This window comes from Homo sapiens, chromosome 6, assembly GCF_000001405.40.
Source record: "Homo sapiens chromosome 6, GRCh38.p14 Primary Assembly".
NCBI lineage: Eukaryota > Metazoa > Chordata > Mammalia > Primates > Hominidae > Homo > Homo sapiens.
Genome location: NC_000006.12, coordinates 24,787,573 through 24,808,846, shown reverse-complemented (window position 1 = coordinate 24,808,846; position 21,274 = coordinate 24,787,573). Strand labels below are relative to the sequence as shown.

Here is a 21,274-nt window from a genome sequence, read left to right as displayed (position 1 = left end):
CGGAGGTTGCAGTGAGCTGAGATCATGCCACTGTATTCCAGCCTGGGTGACAGAGCAAGACTCTGTCTCAAAAAAAAAAAAAAAGAAAAAAGTATAAATAATTATTATAAATAATTTTACTTCAACAACACAATCTTAAAGTATAAAAACTATGCTCCTAGAAATCCTCAGACATAATCCAATCAATACTGCAGCTTAGAAAAAAGCTACCCTTGTTTAGTGATACTAACTTAACAACATGAAGAAGAATCTCATGGCATTTATAATCACTGTGAAAATCCCATTTATTGTTAGGCCCTCTTTCTTACAATTATGGGTTTAACAAGGCTTCATTCTGCTATTGAATATATGATTTCTTCCACAGAAATCTTAGCCAGTATATATTTGTTTAAAGAATAAAAGTTATTCCTTATGGTTGTATTAGGCATAGAAATTATTTAATTCTCTAAAAATGTACCAAGGTATTATTAGTTTAAACTCCTTTATCCCTTCATATTCTAAAATAACCATGAAGGTAAGCCAGGCGCTTATAAAGCATAGCCAACGAAGCTTCTATTTCCAGTGTAACCTAAGGAAGCTGATCCTACAGAATGTGCCCCGGGCCTCACTGGAGCTGTGCAAACAGCAGCATCTCCAGAAGCCATCACCATACCTGCTTCACCTTAGCTCTTCATGCACACTGCTCATATCAGCCCTGGGCCCTCTCACACCACCAGTGTGCAGTGCTCAACACTGGCTGCACATTTGCCAGGGAAGCTTAAACAATCTACTCCCAAAGATTCTGCTTTCATTGGTCTAAGTGTTCCTTGGCATCAGGATTTTTTAAGGATTTTTTGAAGCCTCCCAGGTGATTCTAATATAAAGTTTGAGACCCCCCTGAAGTCAATATTATGAATCTTCTTTGACCCTAATACACAAATACTGGCACATTTTTCTCTTACACAAATGACTGAATTAATATAGTGAGGATAGTATTTTCAATAGGAATTGATAAAATGCCCTATGACAAAGGGCAGAAGGTCATTGCGGGCACTTAAAGGACTCAGGGCTGCAACTATTTACCAACTAGTATGGAATGATTTCGACATTTTAACCTAGAGCTGTCCAACAGATCCCTCCATGGTGATGGGATTGTTCTATATGCGCACTGTCCAGTATGACAGCAGCCATCCTAAATGGCTGTTGGGCTGTTCACCTTTGCCACCATGGAGGAACTGAAGTTTTAAGTTTACTCAATTTTGAGGATAGCTGCTCCTTGACTTACAATGGGGTTACATCCCAATAAACCCGTTGTAAGTTGAAAATACTGTTAAGTCAAAAATGCACTTAATACATCTTACTTGCAGAACATCATAGCTTAGCCTAGCCTACCTTAAACATGGAGTCTCTCTCTATCACCCAGGCTGGAGTGCAATGATGCAATCTCGTCTCATTGCAACCTCTGCCCCCGAGTTCAAGCAATTCTCCTGCCTCAGCCTCCCAAGTAGCTGGGACTACAGGTGGATTCCACCACACCCAGCTAACTCTTTTTTTGTATTTTTTGGTAGAGATGGGGTTTCACTGTGTTGATCAGGCTGGTCTCAAACTCGTGACCTCAAGTGATCCACTCACCTTGGCTTCCCAAAGTTCTGGGGTTACAGGTGTGAGCCACCACACCCAGCTGAACTTCTGATTAGGCACAACTATTTCCATCTTTGTCTCACTTGCATTACATGTATGAAAGCCTGCTTCTTATCACTTGTCTTTGCATTTTATTTTCTCATTTTCTAAATCATTTTTTAAAGTAGAAAAATAGAACAAAACATTAAAATTATTTGCAATTGCATCCTAACTGTTCAAGGTGGCGTTACGGACAAAACTGAACTAGCTGGTGGCTGGTAGAAGGCATCTCTGTATGTTTACATAGTAAAAAGTAATTTTTAGCTGAAGTTTGAAAGCCTAAGATTGATTTTACCACATATCATTTAGATGTATCGATATATAATGTATACAAGTAAAAGTTATGTAAAAGTTCAGTGCATTAGCCATATTGAAATCCCTAATGTACTTAAAATATAATCCATACAATTGCTCTAAAATAAATCGATTATATGAAATCATCAACATCAAATGGCCATAAGACTTCTACTCTGTTTCATACCCTGGCATTCTTTTGGTCTCTGGCATTAATTAGCTCAAAAGTTCTTGGTTGTTCTAAGCATTACCTGGAAAACAATGACATAATTAGGAATAACAAAAGATAACTTTTCCTTACCAAAAGTTAGCATAGCATATTATAGCAACCCATCCCTAAACAAATGGCACTATGTTACTTTGAGTAATTAATAAAAACGTTGTTTGAATTGGTATTCATGTTTAATGTTCTGTATTTAGGAGAAGATGGGCGGCTGGCATATGAACAATTGGACAAATTTCCTCGAGACTGTGTTAAAGTCGGAGGTCGTCATGGAACTGAAGTTGCCACAGCCTTTTAATTACAGGTTAACTGCCTAACAGCTGTCTTAATATCTGGCCCTTTTCATCAGGATGGTGCTGTGGTTTGGGCTGGAAATTGTTTAGAGCCTGAGAGACACGACAACTGAAATAAAAATGTAGGCCAGGTGCAGTGGCTCATGCCTGTAATCCCAGTACTTTGGGAGGCCAACGCAGGAGAATTGCTTAAGCCCAGGAGGTTCAAGACCAACCTGGGCAACATAGCAAGGCCCTGTCTCTACAAAAAAAATAGTTTAATTAGTCAGGCGTGGTGGCATGCACCTGTAGTCCCAGCTACTTGGGAGGCTAAGGTGGGAGGATTGCTTGAGCCCAGAAGATTCAGGCTGCAGTGAGCCATAATTGCCCCACTGCACTCCAGACTGGGTGACAGAGCAAAACCCTGTCTCAAAAAACAAAACAACAACAACAACTAAAAAAACATGTTATAGAAAGAATTCAGAGTCTCGTTTCACAGTACCTATCTACTTTTCCTTTGGCCAATATAGAATAGGGCTATGGTATAATTCAAATATATTACATCGTCGATTGTGTCTAATAATACTCAGTGAAAGAGTCCATCTTATCTTAATATGTATGAAATTTAAAAATAGCCATCTTTGTACTTTTTTGCAAGTTTCTCTATAAGCTTGAAATAGTCATGTGATACTTCGACAAACATCATATGCCTTGCAGTTTTTCTCGGTCGTGTTCTCAGGGTTGAGTAGTCCCCTTAGCTACCTAACTTTACTTTCAATACAAAGCACAAAAAAGAATATCTTCAAATAAAAGTTTGCCTGCAGAACCTGGCAAAATGACCCATTAGGAGAGTTTAGATGTTTTAATTTTATGTGCTCCCAGCTACTCTGGAGTCTGAGGTGGGAGGATCACTTGAGGCAGAGGTTGCAGTAAGCTGAGATTACACTACTGCACTCCAGCCCATGTGACAGAGGAATGAGAGCCAGTCTCAAAAAAAAAAACAAAAAACTCCCATAATTTATTTTGTTTCTTTTCCCCATCCTGAAAATTCCCAAATCATGTTTCCATTATGGAAAAATGATAAGTAAATGACTAAGAACTACATTAAGATTATGCCTATACACTTAAACAAAAAACTCAAAGCTTATGCTTTTTTTTTTTTAATTAATGAGAGCTATTTTTTATGATATTCTTACCATAGGGGTGTTTTGCTGCTAAGACAAATCAAAACCAAAAGCTGTAGATTCACAAACCTGTGATGCTCTTTGAGGTGGAGGAACCTAGAAGTCAGAGAAATCCTAATGGAGTAGGAGTGGAGGAACATTTAAAGTGGTCCCTCCTTCTGTAAAAATGACCGTGGGATTAGAAAGAAGGACATCCTGAGGGGTGGTTACTGCCCCCAGGGAAATCACTCACTGGTAGGATTCCCTGGCCAAATAGTTCAAACATCAGGTCCCATTATTGCTTCAGTATCAGAGATGCAAGTTCATTAAGCAAAGTACAAGACCATTCAGTAGCTCTTATTAAAATATCTTTTCTTCCTCTAAAGAGTGTACAAGGTGGGGTATGCCAAGGTATCAAAACAATATATGTGAGTGTAATTTAAACTGTGGAATATCAACTGTACTATGGACGTGTTTGTATCATTTAGATGTCATTTTAAATATTTACATTTTAGCAAGACTTTTAAAAAGGACTCATTTCATTTCAAAGTGCAAATTGTTTGCCAGGCTTCTGGCAAATGGTTCTTTCAACTGTGAACTTATCGTGTACATATCTGTATATTTATAAATATTATATATATTCATACATCCTTCACTTTAAAGGTACATTGTACAGTCTGTAGTTAGGAGGTATAGCCTATAGCTTATGTTAAATGGTTGAAATGGTTCTTTTTATAGAAAGTCAAACACAGATGTTACAGGATTTTGTGTTTGGTTTGTCATTTTTTTATTTTTTATTTTGACTATTGCATGAGTAATTAATTCCAGATCTTTTGTATTCACTTCTGTATTTTATGTTTGGTTGAGGGGTGCTTTTAGTTGTGTGGCATTTGTATTCATTGATCTTTCAGTCATGTAAGTTAAAATAAAAATTATTTTTGAATTACTAGCATCATGTGCAGTCTGATGTTATTTTTTTTCACATGCCCTTTCTGAGTTGGTATTTACAGAACACACTGCACCTCATTTTCACCTTTATTTTATTTTATTTATTTATTTTGAGACGAAGTTTTGCTCTTGTTGCCCCGGCTGGAGTGCAACGGTGCGATCTCGGCTCACCGCAACCTCCGCCTCCCGAGTTCAAGCGATTCTCCCACCTCAGCCTCTCGAGTAGCTGGGATTGCAGGCATGCACCACCACACCCTGCTAATTTTGTATTTTTAGTAGAGATGGGGTTTCTCCATGTTGATCAGCTGGTCTCGAACTCCCAACCTCAGGTGATCTGCCCGCCTCGAGCTCCCAAAGTGCTGGGATTACAGGTGTGAGCCACCACAGCTCGTGCTTTTATTTTCAATTTGAAATTCCTTTATCTCTAAATAGAGATAATAAATCTCAGTTTGTTGTAAAGCTAATTGGAGAGAAAACAGCTAAGTTTCACTGTTGTATCTATGAGCAGAGACTGTGAGCTCCTTGAGGGCAAATAGGCATGGTGGCTTACCCCAAGATCGTGCCACTGCACTCCAGCCTGGGCAACAGAGTGAGATTCTGTTTCGGGGAAAAAAAAATAAAAAGTGCCTTCACTGATTTGTGTATGTTCTGTTCCCACTCAGACCCCACCAGCATCATCACAAAGAAGCCCTTGACTTTCAACTCTGACAGTATTTACCAAGTGACTCGTTAAATACCAGTGATTGCTTTTACTGAGTCAGTGGTACAAACATTTTCCTCTATAAGGTTTGCTACTATACTGTTTAACTAAATTGCCTTAGTTACTTTACAAAATTGTAAAGTAAAATTGTAAACCTTAGTTCACTGAAAAATGCCAGTACTTCTCGCTGTATCAGAAAAACTCAAATAAAATACTTTTATCCCTGACTTTTCCTGGAGACAGTACCTCTTAGTAAACAAATATTATCTTTTGATTTTGAGACAGTCCTAAGTACACCTTGTTCAAGGAATAATAATTGTTTGCTAAAAATTAGAACTCTAACTTCTCATGCATTCAACAAGTATTTGTTGCTTACTTACTATGAACGAGGTGTATGCCAAGGACTGTTCTTGGCACTGGAAATAGAGTAGTAGAGAAAAATAAAAGACACAACAATCCCTGCCCTCCCAGGCCTTATATCCTGGCAAAGCGAAGACAACAAAGCAGAGAAGGGGAAAAATGATTGCACAAGGTGGGGTGAAGACAGACACAGGGAGAAAGCAAAGATCACAAGTTTAAAGAGAGTAGTCAGGGGCCGGCACAGTGGCTCACACCTGTAATTCCAGCACTTTGGGAGGCCAAGGCTGAGGATCCCTTGAAGCCAGGAAATCAAGACCAGTCTGCATGGCATACTGAAACTCCCATCTCTACAAAAATTTTAAAAACCAGCTGGACGTGGTGGCGTGCACCAGTGGTCCCAACTGCTTGGGAGGCTGAAGCAGGAGGATTGCTTGAGCCCAGGAGTTTGAGGCTGCAGTGAGCTACGATCGTGCCACTGCACTCTAGCCTGGGTGACACAGCAAGACCCTGTGTCAAAAAAAAAAAAAAAAAAAAAAAAAGGAGTGCAAAGGCCTCACAGAAAATTACATTTGAGGAATGACCCGAGGAGCTATTGGGATGAGTCACGTGGATTATCTCTGGGAAGAACCTTCCAGGCAGAGGCAACTGGAGGCAACTAAAATATTCCTCTCTAAAATGCTGGAGATTATAGTGAAAAGGTTAAAACAGGGACATATTCTGCCACTCCTTTCTGCCTTGGTCAGCTCATAACCAGAGCTCAGAGACAGCACTGCCAGAGGACCCAGGAACAGACTTTACTCTTCCCATCAACTTACCTTCAGGCATTTTCTCACCTTTCGGAAGCCTGAAGATGGTCTTTTCTTTGTCTTGTCACTAGATAGGATTCATGGCTCTTAGTTAAAATGCTATTTAAGCAAAGCCCCTAAGCCACTGCCTAGAGAGAGAAATACTTTGGAACTGAAGTCTCTCCTGCACATTGGGTACAACACACATTAATAAACTTCCGTTTATTTTTCTTTTGTTAATCTGACTTTTATTTTCAGGACAGTGTCTCAACTAAAAATGTAAAAAGGGGAAAAAAAGAAATGATGTTTTCTCCCCTGCACAACAGTAAGTACAAAAGCCTTGAAAAGAGGCCATGCTTGGTGTTTTGGATTTTCTAGTACCCACACTTAAGACAAAGAAAAAAGAACAGGTGATATTAATTATAATAATATATTTTATTTAACCTAATGTAAAACATTTCAAAATATGATCAATATAAAAATTATTGAAATATTTTACAGTTTTTCCTACTAAGTCTTCAAAGTCCAGGGTGCATGTTGCACTCACAGCACATCTCAACTGAGACTAGTCACATTTCAAATAGCCATGTGTGGCTACCTTATTGGACAAGGAAGGTCTGTTTTTCCCAATTGTCCCAGTAATACCCTTTATAGCATACACAAACACACACACAGAGAGACACATACACACGTGTTTATGTACAGAATCCAAGCAGGGATTACATTTTTATTTTTATTTATTTATTTATTTTTCAAGATGGAGTTTCGCTCCTGTTGCCCAGGCTGGAGTGCAATGGCACGATCTCGGCTCACTGCAACCTCTGCCTCCTGGGTTCAAGCAATTCTCCTGCCTCAGCCTCCCGAGTAGCTGGGATTACAGGCATGCGCCACCACGCCCGGCTAATTGTGTATTTTTAGTAGAGACGGGGTTTCGCCATGTTGGTCAGGCTGGTCTTGAACTCCTGACCTCAGGTGATCCGCCCACCTCGGCCTCCCAAAGTGCTGGCATTACAACCATGAGCCACCACCGCGCCTGGCCATTTATTTTTTTATTTTTTATTTTTTGGGGATGGAGCTTCACTCTTGTCACCCAGGTTGGAGTGCAATGGCATGATCTCAGCTCACTGCAACCTCTACCTCCCAGGTTCAAGTGATTCTCCTGCCTCAGCCTCCTGAGTAGCTGGGATTACAAGCGTGCACCACCACGCCTGGCTAATTTTTGTATTTTTAGTAGAAAAAGGGTTTCACTGTATTGACCAGGCTGGTCTTGAACTCCTGACCTCAGATGATCCACATGCTTTGGCCTCCCAAAGTGCTGGGATTACAGGTGAGAGCCACTGCACCCGGCCTACATTTTTATTTTAGTTGTCATGTCTCTCAGGCTCTTTTAATCTAGCAGAGTAACCCCAATTTTTTTAAGCCTTCACACATTAAAATATTTGAAGAGCATATGTAGGTATATTCTGTAGAATGTCTCAAATTTGGGATATGTTTTAAAGTAGAGCCAGTACATTCATTGATAAGTTGAAAATGAGATGTGAGATAGATAGAAGCCAAGGATGAATCTAGAATTTTTTACCTGAACAACTAGAAGGATGTAATACCATCTTCCAAGATATAGAAACTGAGAGGCAGCCAGTCTAGGGAGGAAGACCTGGAACTCTGTTTTGGACATGTTAAAACTGAAAAGCGTCTTGGACATTCAAATGGGGATATCAAGCTTGTGACTGAATACGAGTCTGGAGTTCAGGTGAGAAATCCAGTTAAAGATATAAAATTGGAGCAGGCGTAGTGGCTCATGCCTATAATCACAGCACTTTGGGAGGCAAAGGTGGGAGGATTGCTTGAAGCTAGGAGTTCAAAACAGCCTGGACAACATAGTGAGACCCCCATTTCTTAAAAAAAAAAAAATTAAAAATTTGCTAGGTGTGGTGGCCTACAGTCCCTGCTACTCAGGAAGTTGAGGCAGGAGGATCACTTGAGCCCAGGAGATCAAGGCTGCAATGAGCTATGATTGGGCCACTGCACTCCAGCCTGGGCAACAGGGGAACATGTCTCAAAAAAAATTATATATACATATAATTAATATATATATAATATATAATATATATAACTGGGAGTCTTCAGCATATGGGTAATAGTTAAAGCCATAAACTGCTTGATCTTATCTAGGAAGTATAGATAAAGAAAAAAGGACCGGGCATGGTGGCTTACGCCTGTAATCCCAGCATTTAGGAAGCCTAGGTTGGTGGATTGTTTGAGCCCAGGAGTTCAAGACCAGCCTGGGCAACATGGCAAAACCTCATCCCTACAAAAAATTTAGCTGGGCATGGTAGTGTGCACCTGTGGTCCCAGATACTCAGAAGGCTGAGGTGGGGGGATCACCTGAGTCCAGGAGGTCGAGGCTACAGTGGGCCAAGATCATGCCACTGCACTCCAGCCTGGGGGACACAGACAGACCATGACTCAAAAAAAAAAAAAAAGAAAAAGAAAAAGAAAAGAAAAGAAAAGAAGAACACATACAAAGACTGATGAGCCTTGGGCCCTCCAATATTTAGAGGTCATAAGAAGAGGAACCAGTAAAGGAAAATGATGAGTGGCCAGGAGGAGAAAAATTAGGAGTGTGGTATCTTAGAAGCTGGGTGAAAAGTGTTTCAGAGAGAAAGGAGTGTCAAATGTCAAAGACTGACAATTCAATGACCCTGACAGGCAATGTCAGTGGAGTCATGGGGTTGAAATCTTGTTTGGAATTCATCCAAGAAAGAATGAGAAAGACTGGAGATGGTGAGTATAGCAGCTCTTTAAAGAGCTGTACTGTAAAGGAGAGCAGGGAAGTGAATGTGCAGTCGCTGTGGGAAGAAAGCATATGAAGTCAAGAGAGTTTTCTTTCTTTAATGAGAAAAAAAGCACAGCGTGTTTGTTGATAATGCAAAGGGTCCAGTTGAGATGGAAAAATTACCAAGATAAGAGAAGAACCGAAGAGCAACATCCTTGAGTGAGGTGAGAGGAGCTGATTGACATCTACTGCACAAACAGAGAGGGTATCCACAGTAACAGGAGGAAAGACAGAGTCTATGGGTACCGTAGACGCAGATAGGTGGGTGGATGCACTGGTAAGAGTTATGCAAGTTCTCTTTTCATTGCTTCTATTTTCTCAGCAAAATAAGATAAATCTATGATGTAGAGAACTCTCTTTGGGTAGCAAACAAGCAAAAGAGGTAACAATACTATGAAAGATCAATGGAAAGAAGCAAAGTACATGTGGGAATAATCAGACTAGAACGGGCAAGTTCCAAATATACCCTGCCTGAGCAAAGGTTCAAAGACAGTAGTGAGATTCATGCGCATTACGGGAAACAAGTTTAAGTTGAGGTTTTGTACACCAGAGAAATGAAAGTAAAATTGTTTAGTCCAAATAGTAGAAGGCTTTCAATGACAAGCTGAAGAATTTAGGCATATATTGCTTTCCCCTGGTTTGTATATTCCATTCCACAGTGTTGCTAAGTGATGCATTCCAGAGTTCTTGACTGTGAACTCCTGTGACTGCCAGTGGTGTACCTGAAGGACCACTGGCCTTTTTACACAATGGCTAACAGCCGATTTTCTTGTACGCAAATTTGGGTTAAGATGTATGGGTATTTTGCGGGGCTGTGTCGGCGTCTCCAGAAATTCTGGCGTGTCACTGTTAAGGGCTTTTTTGTTAAGAAGAAGGAAAAAAAAATCCCTTCAGCTGAGACTTATTTTCATGAGGAAAAAATTGTTGTACTTGGCCAAGTGTTGATGAATGAATCTCTACCCATTGAGAAGAGAGCTCAAGCTGCCCAGAAAATTGGACTGCTGGCCTTCACAGGTACTGATCTAAATGGCTGTGCTAAAATGAGTGTTTCACGACACTCATTTTATAACACTGTAGTTTAGTAATTTTTCTTAGCTGTAATCTTAAAATTCTGATAACATTTCATTGGATGAGGGATATTTGCTAAGCGAACACAACCAGGTTTTATTCACCTTGAAATACTCACTCTTGGCCAGGCACGGTGGCTCACGCCTGTAATCCCAGCACTTTGTGAGGCCAAGGTGGGTGAATCACCTGAGGTCTGGAGTTCAAGACCAGCTGATCAACATGGTGAAACCCCGTCTCTACTAAAAATACAAAAAATTAGCTGGGCATGGTGGTGCATGCCTGTAATACCAGCTACTCGAGAGGCTGAGGTAGGAGAATCGCTTGAACCCGGGAGGCAGAGGTTGCAGTGAGCTGAGATCGTGCCATTGCACTCCAGCCTGGGCAAAAAGAGCAAAACTCCGTCTCAAAAAAAAAAGGAAAGAAAGAAATACTCACTCCTGGGTGCTTGCTTAAAGGAACCAGGGAGGAGACCAGCAAGCAGAGACCTTCCCAGGTTTTTCATATCACTGCTTGCTTATCAACACACACTTTCTGGTCTTCATGGCAGCAGCGTGGGAGGTGGGGGAAAACGACAGGAAAATTCAAAGTATCCAAAGTATCCTCTACAGGGCAACAAGAATATGAACATATAAGCATTCCAAAGTGTTACTAGCTAATAGATACACCAAATACTTCTGGAAATGCAAATGCTTGTTTTACAGGAGGACCACCTGCTGGGAACTTTGCAGCTGAGTACATGGAAGAAGTGGCTCACTTGTTGCAAGATGAGGAGTTGGCACCAAAAATAAAGATCCTGCTGCTCCAGAGTGTGGCATGTTGGTGTTACTTAAACCCTGTCAGCCAGAAAAGAGCCAAAAGTCTGCAATTTATTCCTATTCTCATTAGTTTTTTTGAAGGCAGATTCGAGTCTACTATCAAAAGTGAAACAAACAGCTACCTCCTCCTTAAATTTTGGACTTGTTACGTTCTCTCTGTCATGACATGCAATAACTTGTCTTGCGTCAAGGAGCTTAAAGACCACAGTGCTCTAAAATATCATTTGCAAATGTTGGCTGCTGAGAATTGGTCTGGATGGACAGAGAATTTTGCAGAGGTGCTGTATTTCCTAATTGGTTTTCATAGGAATTAGTTTCTCTAAATCCAGTTACATGTTGCAGCTCTCTGTGTATTACCCTGGAAAACTGAAATAAACAATAAAAATCGATGTTTTCCTTTGTAGTTGAAGAGTTCTGTATAGATTTTCATACAGTTAACTGCAATAATCAAACTTCAGAAAAGAAATGCTGTTTAAAATTACCTCGTAGAGAGAGCCCATTGAGCTTGCTCATGAGTGTATTCTTTCCCATTAGGAAATAAAGATGTTAAAGCACGCAGTTAGATACAATGCGGAATATGAATGAAACCACCTTTGCAAAAATGATGACAGTGAGAAAAATCTGACAGCGAAAGAAAGCTGACCTCACTGACGCCATCTTGCTTCTAACCTCTAAGCTGCCCTTGTTCATTCCTGGGCATAGGCCAAACTAACTTTGGGAAGAATTTAGTTCATAGTTTAACTATGAAACAAAGATGATTACCTAGACTCTTCCCTGAAACAAACTCCCTCCTTGCTTGGGGACCAGACTGCTTTTATAAAACTAACACATTAGCCACAGACTGGAAATTATGGCTCAGGAGTCATACAGCCAGAGGCCACAAGATTCCAACCTCCCCGGTTGCACCTACAGATTAGTATTGAAAAACCTAAGATTGGTATTTGAGGTATTTTTCAGATCCTGCATTCTGATGGATCAGCTGGCACCACCCAGACTGCCAAGCTGGGTCTTCTGATCTTATGGTCACCAACCAGCAACTGACTCAGCACAAGAGGACAAGTTCCAGCCCCCTATGATTTCATCCCCAATGGAACCAATCAGCATTCCCCATTCCCTAGCCTCTTGCCCATGAAACTATCCTTAAAAAACCCTAGCCTCCAAATTTTCAGAGAGGCTGATTTGAGTAATAACAAAACTCTGGTCTCCCATTTAGCCAGCTCTATGTGTCTTAAAATCTTTCTCTATTGCAGTTCCCCTGTCTTGATAAATCTGCTCTGTCTGGGCAAAGAGCAAGAACTCATGGGGCAGTTACATGAATACTTGTAAAATTACAGAACTGGAATTATTATTTTTTGCCATCTATTATACGAAGGCTAGAGAGAATGTCTATCCCCAATGTCTACCATTAAATCATGAAACTCTTATTTTCTAATATATCTTTTTTTGAAGTTGATTAAAAATATGTATTTTACAACTGATTTCCCATTGGAAAAAATATGCTGGTAATTTTTTTTAACCTTGTGCTTCTGTGTAGTAAAAAAAAAAAATTATTAAAAGTGAAAAAAAAAGACCTCATAAAAATTAAGTTCATAAAATTCTGAAATTCATCAGAAGATGCATCATGTATATAACTGTTAGGAGCAATGGTGCACTTTGGGAGTTACTAGATGATATTAAACCAAGGCACTCAGAAAGGCCAAATCCTAGCCCCACCCACGGCTGCCTCCTTCAGCAGGCACTATTGACCCACCTGAATCCTTTCAGCCCTATTTCAGTACAGAACCTCCGGTGGTGGTGCTTTTGAGATGGTTCTCCAGCTATCAGAGCATGATCTGGTTGCACATGGGGCTGACTGGGAATTAGCACTAGAATTAGCACTCCTCTTGCCTACCTCCACCTGCAGCAGCCCGCAACTCCACTGGCACAAACGTTTGGATGGAGATGGAGCGCGTGTGTTCCGACACCTAAAGTTAGGTAGGCTCTTAGATTTTCATAAAAAGATGTTATTCTCTCTGTTTTGTCTACTAGATAATCTGCCACAGAATACCTGCACTCTATGTGTGTTAACCAACCTCATCAAAAGTTTTATTCGAAAAAATAATATTGGCAGAAAAGTGCCTAAGGGATATGTACCTGATTCTCTAACTACACCTGCCTCTAGCTTCAGTTGCAACCATAACATTGAATTATGTACTTTCATCTTTCACAGACTTGCTTTGACTGAGCTGTGCTTTAGTGTTAGGCACAGAGGGGGCTATTTTAAAAAATGTCGTGTAGATTCGTGATCCTCACTTGTATTTGGGATAGGAATGTTGTGGAGGATGCTAATCACATCATCAGATGGGGTTTCCTTAAGAAGGATCTGGAGGGGAATTTTCTCAGATCTTAGACCAGAAAAAGCTATGTTCTGCTGAGCAACTGTACATTTCCATACTTTGTGGTTTTGTGAAGTATGGAATGTAGAGTTTCTCAACTAGAATCTAGTTGATAGGAATACATTAAGGGTTGGAAACTGGAAGTTCCATTTAGATACTGAATTACTGCCAGGAATTACTTTTTTTCTTTTTTCTTTCTTTCTTTCTTTTTTGAGATAGCCTCTTACTCTTTCACCTGGGCTGGAGTGCAGTGGTGCAATCATAGCTCACACCACTGAGCTATGAACATTATCAAGACAGGGGAATTGCAATAGAAAAAGAGTTTAATACATGTAGAGCTGGCTAAATGGGAGACCAGAGTTTTGTTATTACTCAAATTAGCCTTTCTGAAAATTTGGAGGCATAGATCATACATAACCTTGAACTCCTGGGCTCAAGCAATCCTCCTGCCTCAGCCTCTCATGGAGCTAGAGTTACAGGTGGAAGCCACTATGCCTTGCTAATTTCTTTTTCATATATATATACACATATATGTTTACACACACGTTTTTAAAATAGAGATGGAGTCTCGCTATTTTGCCCAGGCTGATCTCGAACTCCCAGGCTGAAGCATTCCCTCCTGCCTTGGCCTCCCAAAGTTTTGGGATTACAGGCATCAGCCGCCAGATTCAGCCTTTTAATGCTTTTAAAATTAAGTTTTTATTTCAAAGTAATGCACGTACACAGTTTAAAAAGTCAAATAATGTAAGGCCTCTAGTGAGAAACAGCAGTCTCTGAGTCCCTTCCCCATTTACACTCCCAGAGGGAATCATCTGAATTGTTTCAGTTGTTTCTTCTGGTATTTATTTACCTTCATATTTCTAAATAATTTATATACATTGTTAATTCTTGTCTTTTTTTTTTCAATTTTGGGGATTTTTGTTCTTCCTTCTGAATAGGACAGATGGAATTTGGCATTCTAACACTCATCTTGCCTACCTTCACCTGCCCTACTCTTCCTCTCTCGATGTAATTATGTCACAATTGTTGATTTAAAAAATATGATAGCTGGGCACAGTGGCTCACACCTGTAATCCCAGCACTTTGGGAAGCTGAGGTGGGAGGACTGCTTGAGGCGAAGAGTTTGAGACTACCCTGGGTAACATAGCAAGACCCATCTCTGTTATAAATAAATACATTAAAACCAAATAAGATTAATTCAATATTTTTCAAGGCTAAGTCATACAGGATATTATGATTACACTTCCTTCTTTCCACAGCTCTGTTTTCTCTGTAGTTTTTGTTTTGTTTTGTTTTTGAGATGGGAGTCTCGCTCTGTCGCCCAGGCTGGAGTGCAGTGACACGATTTCGGCTCACTGCAACCTCCGCCTCCCAGGTTCAAGTGATTCTCCCATCTCAGCCTCCCAAGCTGCTGGGACTACAGGCACGTGCCACCACGCCTGGCTAATTTTTTCATATTTTTAATAGAGATGGGGTTTCATCATATTGGCCAGGCTGATCTCAAACTCCTGACCTCGTGATCCACCTACCTCCGCCTCCCAAAGTGCTGGGATTACAGGCGTGAGCCACCACGCCCGGCTGGAGTTTGTTTTTTTACTTAGTTTTCTGAATACCTATCACTACTTTATTCCCACACTTTCCTCTATATGTCTAACATCTCTCAACACAATCATGCACTGAGTAACTGTCAGCTCCGGCTCCACCATCCTCTTGCTCCAATCTGGGCCTGCCCTTAGCTAACAAATACAGTATTTTAGGGGTTCCCTTCAACATCCAGGACCCCCCATTACCCCTCTCATCTTGAAGCCTCTGTTTCCTGTATACTCTCTCTTCCCTTTTCCTGGTTCATTCCAACATTTTAATTTCAAAATTTTTCAGTAGTTTCCAGAGAAAGAATGAAGGGGAGGTAAATGTTTTGAGCATTTGCATGTCCAGTGATGTCTTTATTCTTCACTTGATTAGTAATTTGACTTCAGCCTGTCCCTGAACCAAGAGAAGCAGCTGAGAACATCAGTGCTCTGTGCAAGCCCTCACTCCCCAGAAGAAGAAGGGAAGAGCTGAGGCAAGCACCTGAGGGCTATTCTTCCCAAAGTCACTAATCAGGTAAGTCCCTCATCTCCACTAAAACCAGGAGTGTTGCAGCTATTGGAGATTCCTACTCCAGGAAGAAAACATTAGATATGGAAAAGAAGCATATATGCAACCAATTAAAATGTATCAATTCATGTAAGGATAAAAAGAAAAGAAGTAGCTTCTTCTGTATCTTTCCAGAAGTATTCTTTCTATATATAAGAAAATATACATCTATCCCTTACGTCGTCCTTGTTTTAACATATAGTAGCATTCTATACATACATAATTTATTTCACACTTTGTTCTACATCTTAAAGAGTTTGATTCTTTTCCATTGCTTCAGAGTATTTCATTGTATGACTGTACTATACAGTTGACCCTTGAACAATATGGGTTTGAACTGCTCAGGTCCACTTATATGAAGATTTTCTTCTGCCTCGGCCACCCGAGACAGCTAGTCTGCCACCGAGACTCCCCTTCAGCCTACTCAATATGAAGATGATGAGGATGAAGACCCTTATGATGAACCACTTCTGCTTAATGAATAGTAAAAAATATTTTCTCTTCTTTATGATCGGCTTAATTCTTTTCTCTACCTTACTTTATTGTAAGAACACAGGATATAGGCCGGGTGCAGTGGCTCACGCCTGTAATCCCAGCACTTTGGGAGGCCGAGGAGGGTGGATCATGAGGTCAGGAGATCGAGACCATCCTGGCCAACATAGTGAAACCCCATCTCTACGAAAAATACAAAAATTAGCCGGGCATGGTGGTGTGTGCCTGTAGTCCCAGCTACTCAGGAGGCCGAGGCAGGAGAATCGCTTGAACCCAGGAGGCGGAGGTTGCGGATCGCACCACTGCACTCCAGCCTGGTAAACAGAGCGAAACTCCGTCTCAAAAAACAAAAAACAAAAAAAACAACAACACAGGATATAATACATATAACATACAAAATATGTGTTAATCAACTGTTTATATTATCAGCAAGGCTTCCAGTCAACATTAGGCTAATCATTAAGTTTTGAGAGAGTAAAAAATTATATGCAAGGCTGAGCATAGTGGCATGCCTGTAATCTCAGCTACCTGTAAGACTGAAGCAGGTGGATCACTTGAGCCCAGCCTAAAAAACATAAGACCTTGCCTCAAATAAAAAACTAATTTCAGCCGGGTGGGGTGGGGCTCATGCCTGTAATCCTAACACTTTGGGAGGCCTAGATGGGAGGATTGCTTGAATCGAGGAGTTCGAGACCCGTCTTGGCAACATAGTGAGACATCTCTACAAAAAAAATCAGCCAGGTGTGGTGGTGTGTGCCTATAGTCCCAGCTACTTGGGAGGCTGAGGCAGGAGGATCGCTTGAGCCCAGGAGGCAGAGGTTGTAGTGAGCCAAAATTGTGCCACTGCACTCCAGGTGACAGAGTGAGACCGTCTCAAATAACAATTTCAAAACAGAGAATTTATCTAGGTCAGGTGTGGTGGCTCACGCCTGCAATCCTGGCACTTTGGGAGGCTGAGGTGGGCAGATCACCTGAGTCCAGGAGTTTGAGACCAGCCTGGCCAACATGGTGAAACCCCCATCTCTACTAAAAATACAAAAATTAGCCAAACATGGTGGTGTGTGCCTGTAATCCCAGCTACTCGGGAGGCTGAGGCAGGAGAATCACTGGAAGCCAGAAGCAGAGGTTGCAGTGAGCCAAGATCACACCACTGCACGCAAGCCTGGGTGATAGAGCCAGACTCCATCTCAAAAAAAGAAAAAAAAAGAAAAAAGAAAAATTATCTAAATTTTAAAAGCAGAAGATAGCCAAAGAAAATTTATATTAGCCAGGCGTGGTGGCACGCGCCTGTAGTCACAGGTACTCGGGAGGCTGAGGCAGGAGAATCTCTTGAACCCAGGAGGCGGAGGTTGCAGTAAGCTGAGATGGTGCCACTGCACTCCAGCCTGGGCGACAGAGCTGAGACTGTCTCAAAAAAAAAAAAAAAAAAAAGAAAAGAAAAATTTATATGCAGATTTTCAACTGCACAGGTGTTGGCTTCCCTAATGGCTGCCTTGTTCAAGGGTGAACTGTAATTTATACAACCAGTCCTATACTGATGAACATTTAAGTTATTTCCAATATTTTGATAGTTCAAAGTTGTAATGAATAACCTTAAATATGTGTAATTTCACATGTGTGAGCATATCTGTTGAATAAATTTCTAGAAATGGAATTGCTTAGCCATACTTACATCGTTTGCTTTTGTTTTATTCTGTTCCCTGCATTGTGACTTTTGCCTCAACTTCTGTTGACTCTGCTTGGTCAGCACGGGATTATGATGTTTTTTACAGCTTACTGTCATTTTAATAATGTTTGGGAAAGACAGAAATTAAATGGCTCTGTTCAATTAACATGTTTAACCAGAAATTGCTGAAGGCCTCTCTGTGACAATGTTTACAGAAATTTTGGTTAACATTTTATCTACAGAAGATTAGCTTATAAGGTAGTCTAATAATATGTTCTATTCAAATTCCTTTTTGGTCTCTGGAACCTCTTTAAGTTGAAGGAGGTAAGATACAAGGTTCAGATTCGAGCTGAGGCATTTTTACTGTAAACCTTGAATTTTAAGCTGGCTTACCAAAGCTTTAACAACAGTGATTTTGTTTTCCTTTGCTGTCCCTCCTAAGTTCATCTCTCCCAACTTTTGAGTTTTGCTAGAAGCAAATCAGAGGATTTGCTTAAGGATTTGAAAGATATTATTTGGGAGGTGATCTCGGGAACTAGCAATAGGGAAGGGAAGAAAGCCAATAAAAGATGTATTATGAAGAAAGCTGCCACTGTAGGTAAACGGAAGCTTAATCCTGCTGGGGAACCATCTGGTAAACACACAACACACATGCCTTAAGAATTATTTCATCCAGAGGTCCCAAGGAGCTCAGATATGTATACACCAATTCTTATCCTTCTTGGTTGACCTAACAACCTAATTAGTTACAACCTAAAAGTCAACTGAAATATCTTGAAGGGTGTGGGATAGGCAAGGAAGTTTTCTAAACAAACCAAAATTACGAGGGCCGTAAGGCAGTGTGGTGGACGTTTGTTGCGTTTTGGCTCACTAGAATTTATTCTTTCTTCTAATAACACGTCAGTTTATTTGGGGGAGATATCTTACCCATGGTGTAGTCTTAAAATTCATTTCTATCTGCTCTTGGATTAGCTTTTCTCTTCCCTTCCTATAATTATCCTTTATTTGGTCTCATTGCATCCACCTCCAAAAGAATTGGAAATAATTGTGGTCCATCCTTTTCTAGCTCTTGACCTTGAAACTAATTCCAAAGCTTCACCATTAAGCATTATGTTAAGCATGGGTAGCATAGTTTATTTCAGGTTAAAATTCTTTTCTTTTCCTAGCTTACCAAGGGTTTTTACCAGAAAGGGTGTTGAATTTTATCAATGCTATTTTACCATCTATTAAGATGATATGCTTTTTCCCCTTTAATATAAAGAACTTCATGTTTACTAATATTATAGCAGTCTTGCATTCCTGAGATAAACCCTAACTTGGTCATCGTTTTATCTTTTAGTAGATTAGACTTGCCATTTTATTTATGATTTTTCAATCTGTATTAATAAGGCTCTAGATTCCCCTACTCCAACCTTACGGTCCATCCTCATTACCTTCTTTTTTTTTTTTTTTTTTTTTTTTTTGAGATGAGGTTTCGCTCGTTGCCCAGGCTGGAGTGCAAAGACGCGACCTTGGCTCACTGCATCCTCTACCTCCTGGGTTCAAGCAATTCTCCTGCCTCAGCTTCCCAAATAGCTGGGACTACAGGCATGCACCATCACGCCTGGCTAATTTTGTATTTTTAGTAGACAGGTTTTCACCATGTTTGTCAGGCTGGTCCTGAATTCCTGACCTCAGGTGATCTGCCCACCTGGGCCTCCCAAAGTGCTGGGATTACAGGCATAAGCCACCACACCTGGCTGGTCCATCCTCAAATCTTGATATCAGTTATGCTAGCCTTGTAAAATATATTGACAAATTAGTTCAGTCTAATCCAGGCTTCATGCATACTGTTTTTCCAACTGATTCTTATCCATTTGCCATTTCCTTAACGAAGCTCGACTGCATTTTATTAAACCAACTTCAAAGAACTTGTTCTAATGGGCCAGGCTTGATTGACTCCCTGACCCCTTCTCCAAGGTATTTTCATTGACATGTTTTTTGTTTTGTTGAGACAGAGCCTCACTCTGTTGCCGAGGCTGGAGTGCAGTGGCGCAATCTATGCTCACTGCAACTTCTGCCTCCCAGATTCAAGCAATTCTTGTGTGCCTCAGCCTCCCGAAGAGCTGTGACTACAGGTGTGCACCACCACGCCCAACTAATCTTTTGTATTTTTAGTAGACAAAGCATTTTGCCATGTTAGCCAGGCTGATGTTGAACTCCTGTCCTCAAGTGATCTGCCTGCCTCAGCCTCCCAAAGTGTAGGGATTACAGGCGTAGCCATCACACCCGGCTGACATGCTATACTAACATTTGATACCTAATTAAAAATCAGACTCATCTTCCACAGGAAATTCCTACAAATTCTCCATCACTAGGGTCAGTTCCCAGGGACTAGAAGCTTAAAATATGTCCCCCAAAACAGCCCCTACATGACCCTTAGGCAACTACTAATCTGCTTTCTCATTATACTTTGTAGTTTTGTGATTTTAAATAAATAGAAGCATACAGTATGTATTTACCTGGCTTCTTTCACACAACATTGAGATTCGTCCATGTGGCGTGTACCAATTTTTGTCCCCTTTTTATTGCTAAATAGTATTCCACTGTATAGTTATACCATAATTTATCCACTCAGTTACCAATGGATATTTGGGCTATTACAAATAAAGCTATGAAAATGTGTGAACTAGTCTTCATGTGGACATATGCTTTCGTTTCTCTTGGGTAAATACCCAGGGGTGGAATGGCTGAGTCATATAAAATGTGTATGTATAACTTTTAAGGAATTGTTCAACTTTTCCACAGCAGTTGTAGCATTTAGCACTGCCACCACCACTGCAGGAGGGTTTCAGATGTTTCACATCCTTAACACTCGATGGAGTTGTTTTTATTTTTCAAACTTAAAACAATTCTGAAAGGTATGTAGCAGTATCTGGTTGTCATTTAATTTGCACTTCCTTAATGACTAATGTTGAGCATCTTTTCATGCACTTAGTTTCCATCTCATACATACCCTAGTTCTTTATAGATACAAATCCTTTGTTGGCTATGTTCTGCAAATATGTTCCCCCAGTCTGTTCTTGCCTTTTCATTTGCTTGTCTTTCAAAAAGTTTTTAAAATTTACAACGTTTAATTTGAAGTTGATGCTTTTTTGTGTCCTATTTGAGAACTCTCTGCCAAACCCAAAGTCACTAAGAACTTTTCTATATAATCTAGAAGTTTTATGGTTTTAGCTACTACCTTAGTTTTTTAATCCCCTTCAATTCCCTCTCCTTTTGCTCCCCACCATCAAATTCTGGCATTTTACAAAAATACTTTCTATTTGTCAAGTCCCTATTCTACTTACCTATTTTCTTTCTTAACCATGCTAAAGGCCTCTCAACTGAGTCTCCTCATGCTCTAATCCAGAATATTCTTCAATTCCTTTAAAATTAATTTACCTATTAATCCTATCTTTAGGCTAGTGATCCACACCTGAAACACACAGAGCCACACTAAC

General features: G+C 40.4%; 2 protein-coding genes and 1 long non-coding RNA gene across 9 annotated transcripts in view; all 3 read left to right on the top strand.

The window, feature by feature from the left end:
- RIPOR2 (RHO family interacting cell polarization regulator 2) overlaps window positions 1-4,563 on the top strand; it is a 237,885-nt gene extending 233,322 nt beyond the window's left edge. For all 7 annotated transcript variants that reach the window (XM_006715275.3, XM_011515012.2, NM_001286445.3 and 4 more), the window contains one exon: window positions 2,374-4,563. In XM_006715275.3, coding sequence (XP_006715338.1) covers window positions 2,374-2,474 — 101 coding nt within the window. In that variant the 3' untranslated portion in view covers window positions 2,475-4,563. The remainder of the gene's footprint in view (window positions 1-2,373) is intronic.
- On the top strand, window positions 9,930-11,512 carry ARMH2 (armadillo like helical domain containing 2). Its single transcript, NM_001282492.2, has 2 exons — window positions 9,930-10,254; window positions 11,010-11,512. The coding sequence occupies exons 1-2, from the start codon at window positions 9,990-9,992 to the stop codon at window positions 11,435-11,437; spliced, it is 693 nt and encodes a 230-aa protein (NP_001269421.1). The 5' UTR covers window positions 9,930-9,989; the 3' UTR covers window positions 11,438-11,512.
- Window positions 11,513-13,010: 1,498 nt separating this feature from the next.
- LOC124901280 (uncharacterized) lies at window positions 13,011-16,048 on the top strand. The gene is made up of 3 exons (XR_007059510.1): window positions 13,011-13,097; window positions 15,461-15,601; window positions 15,980-16,048. It is a non-coding gene; the product is annotated as an uncharacterized LOC124901280 (long non-coding RNA).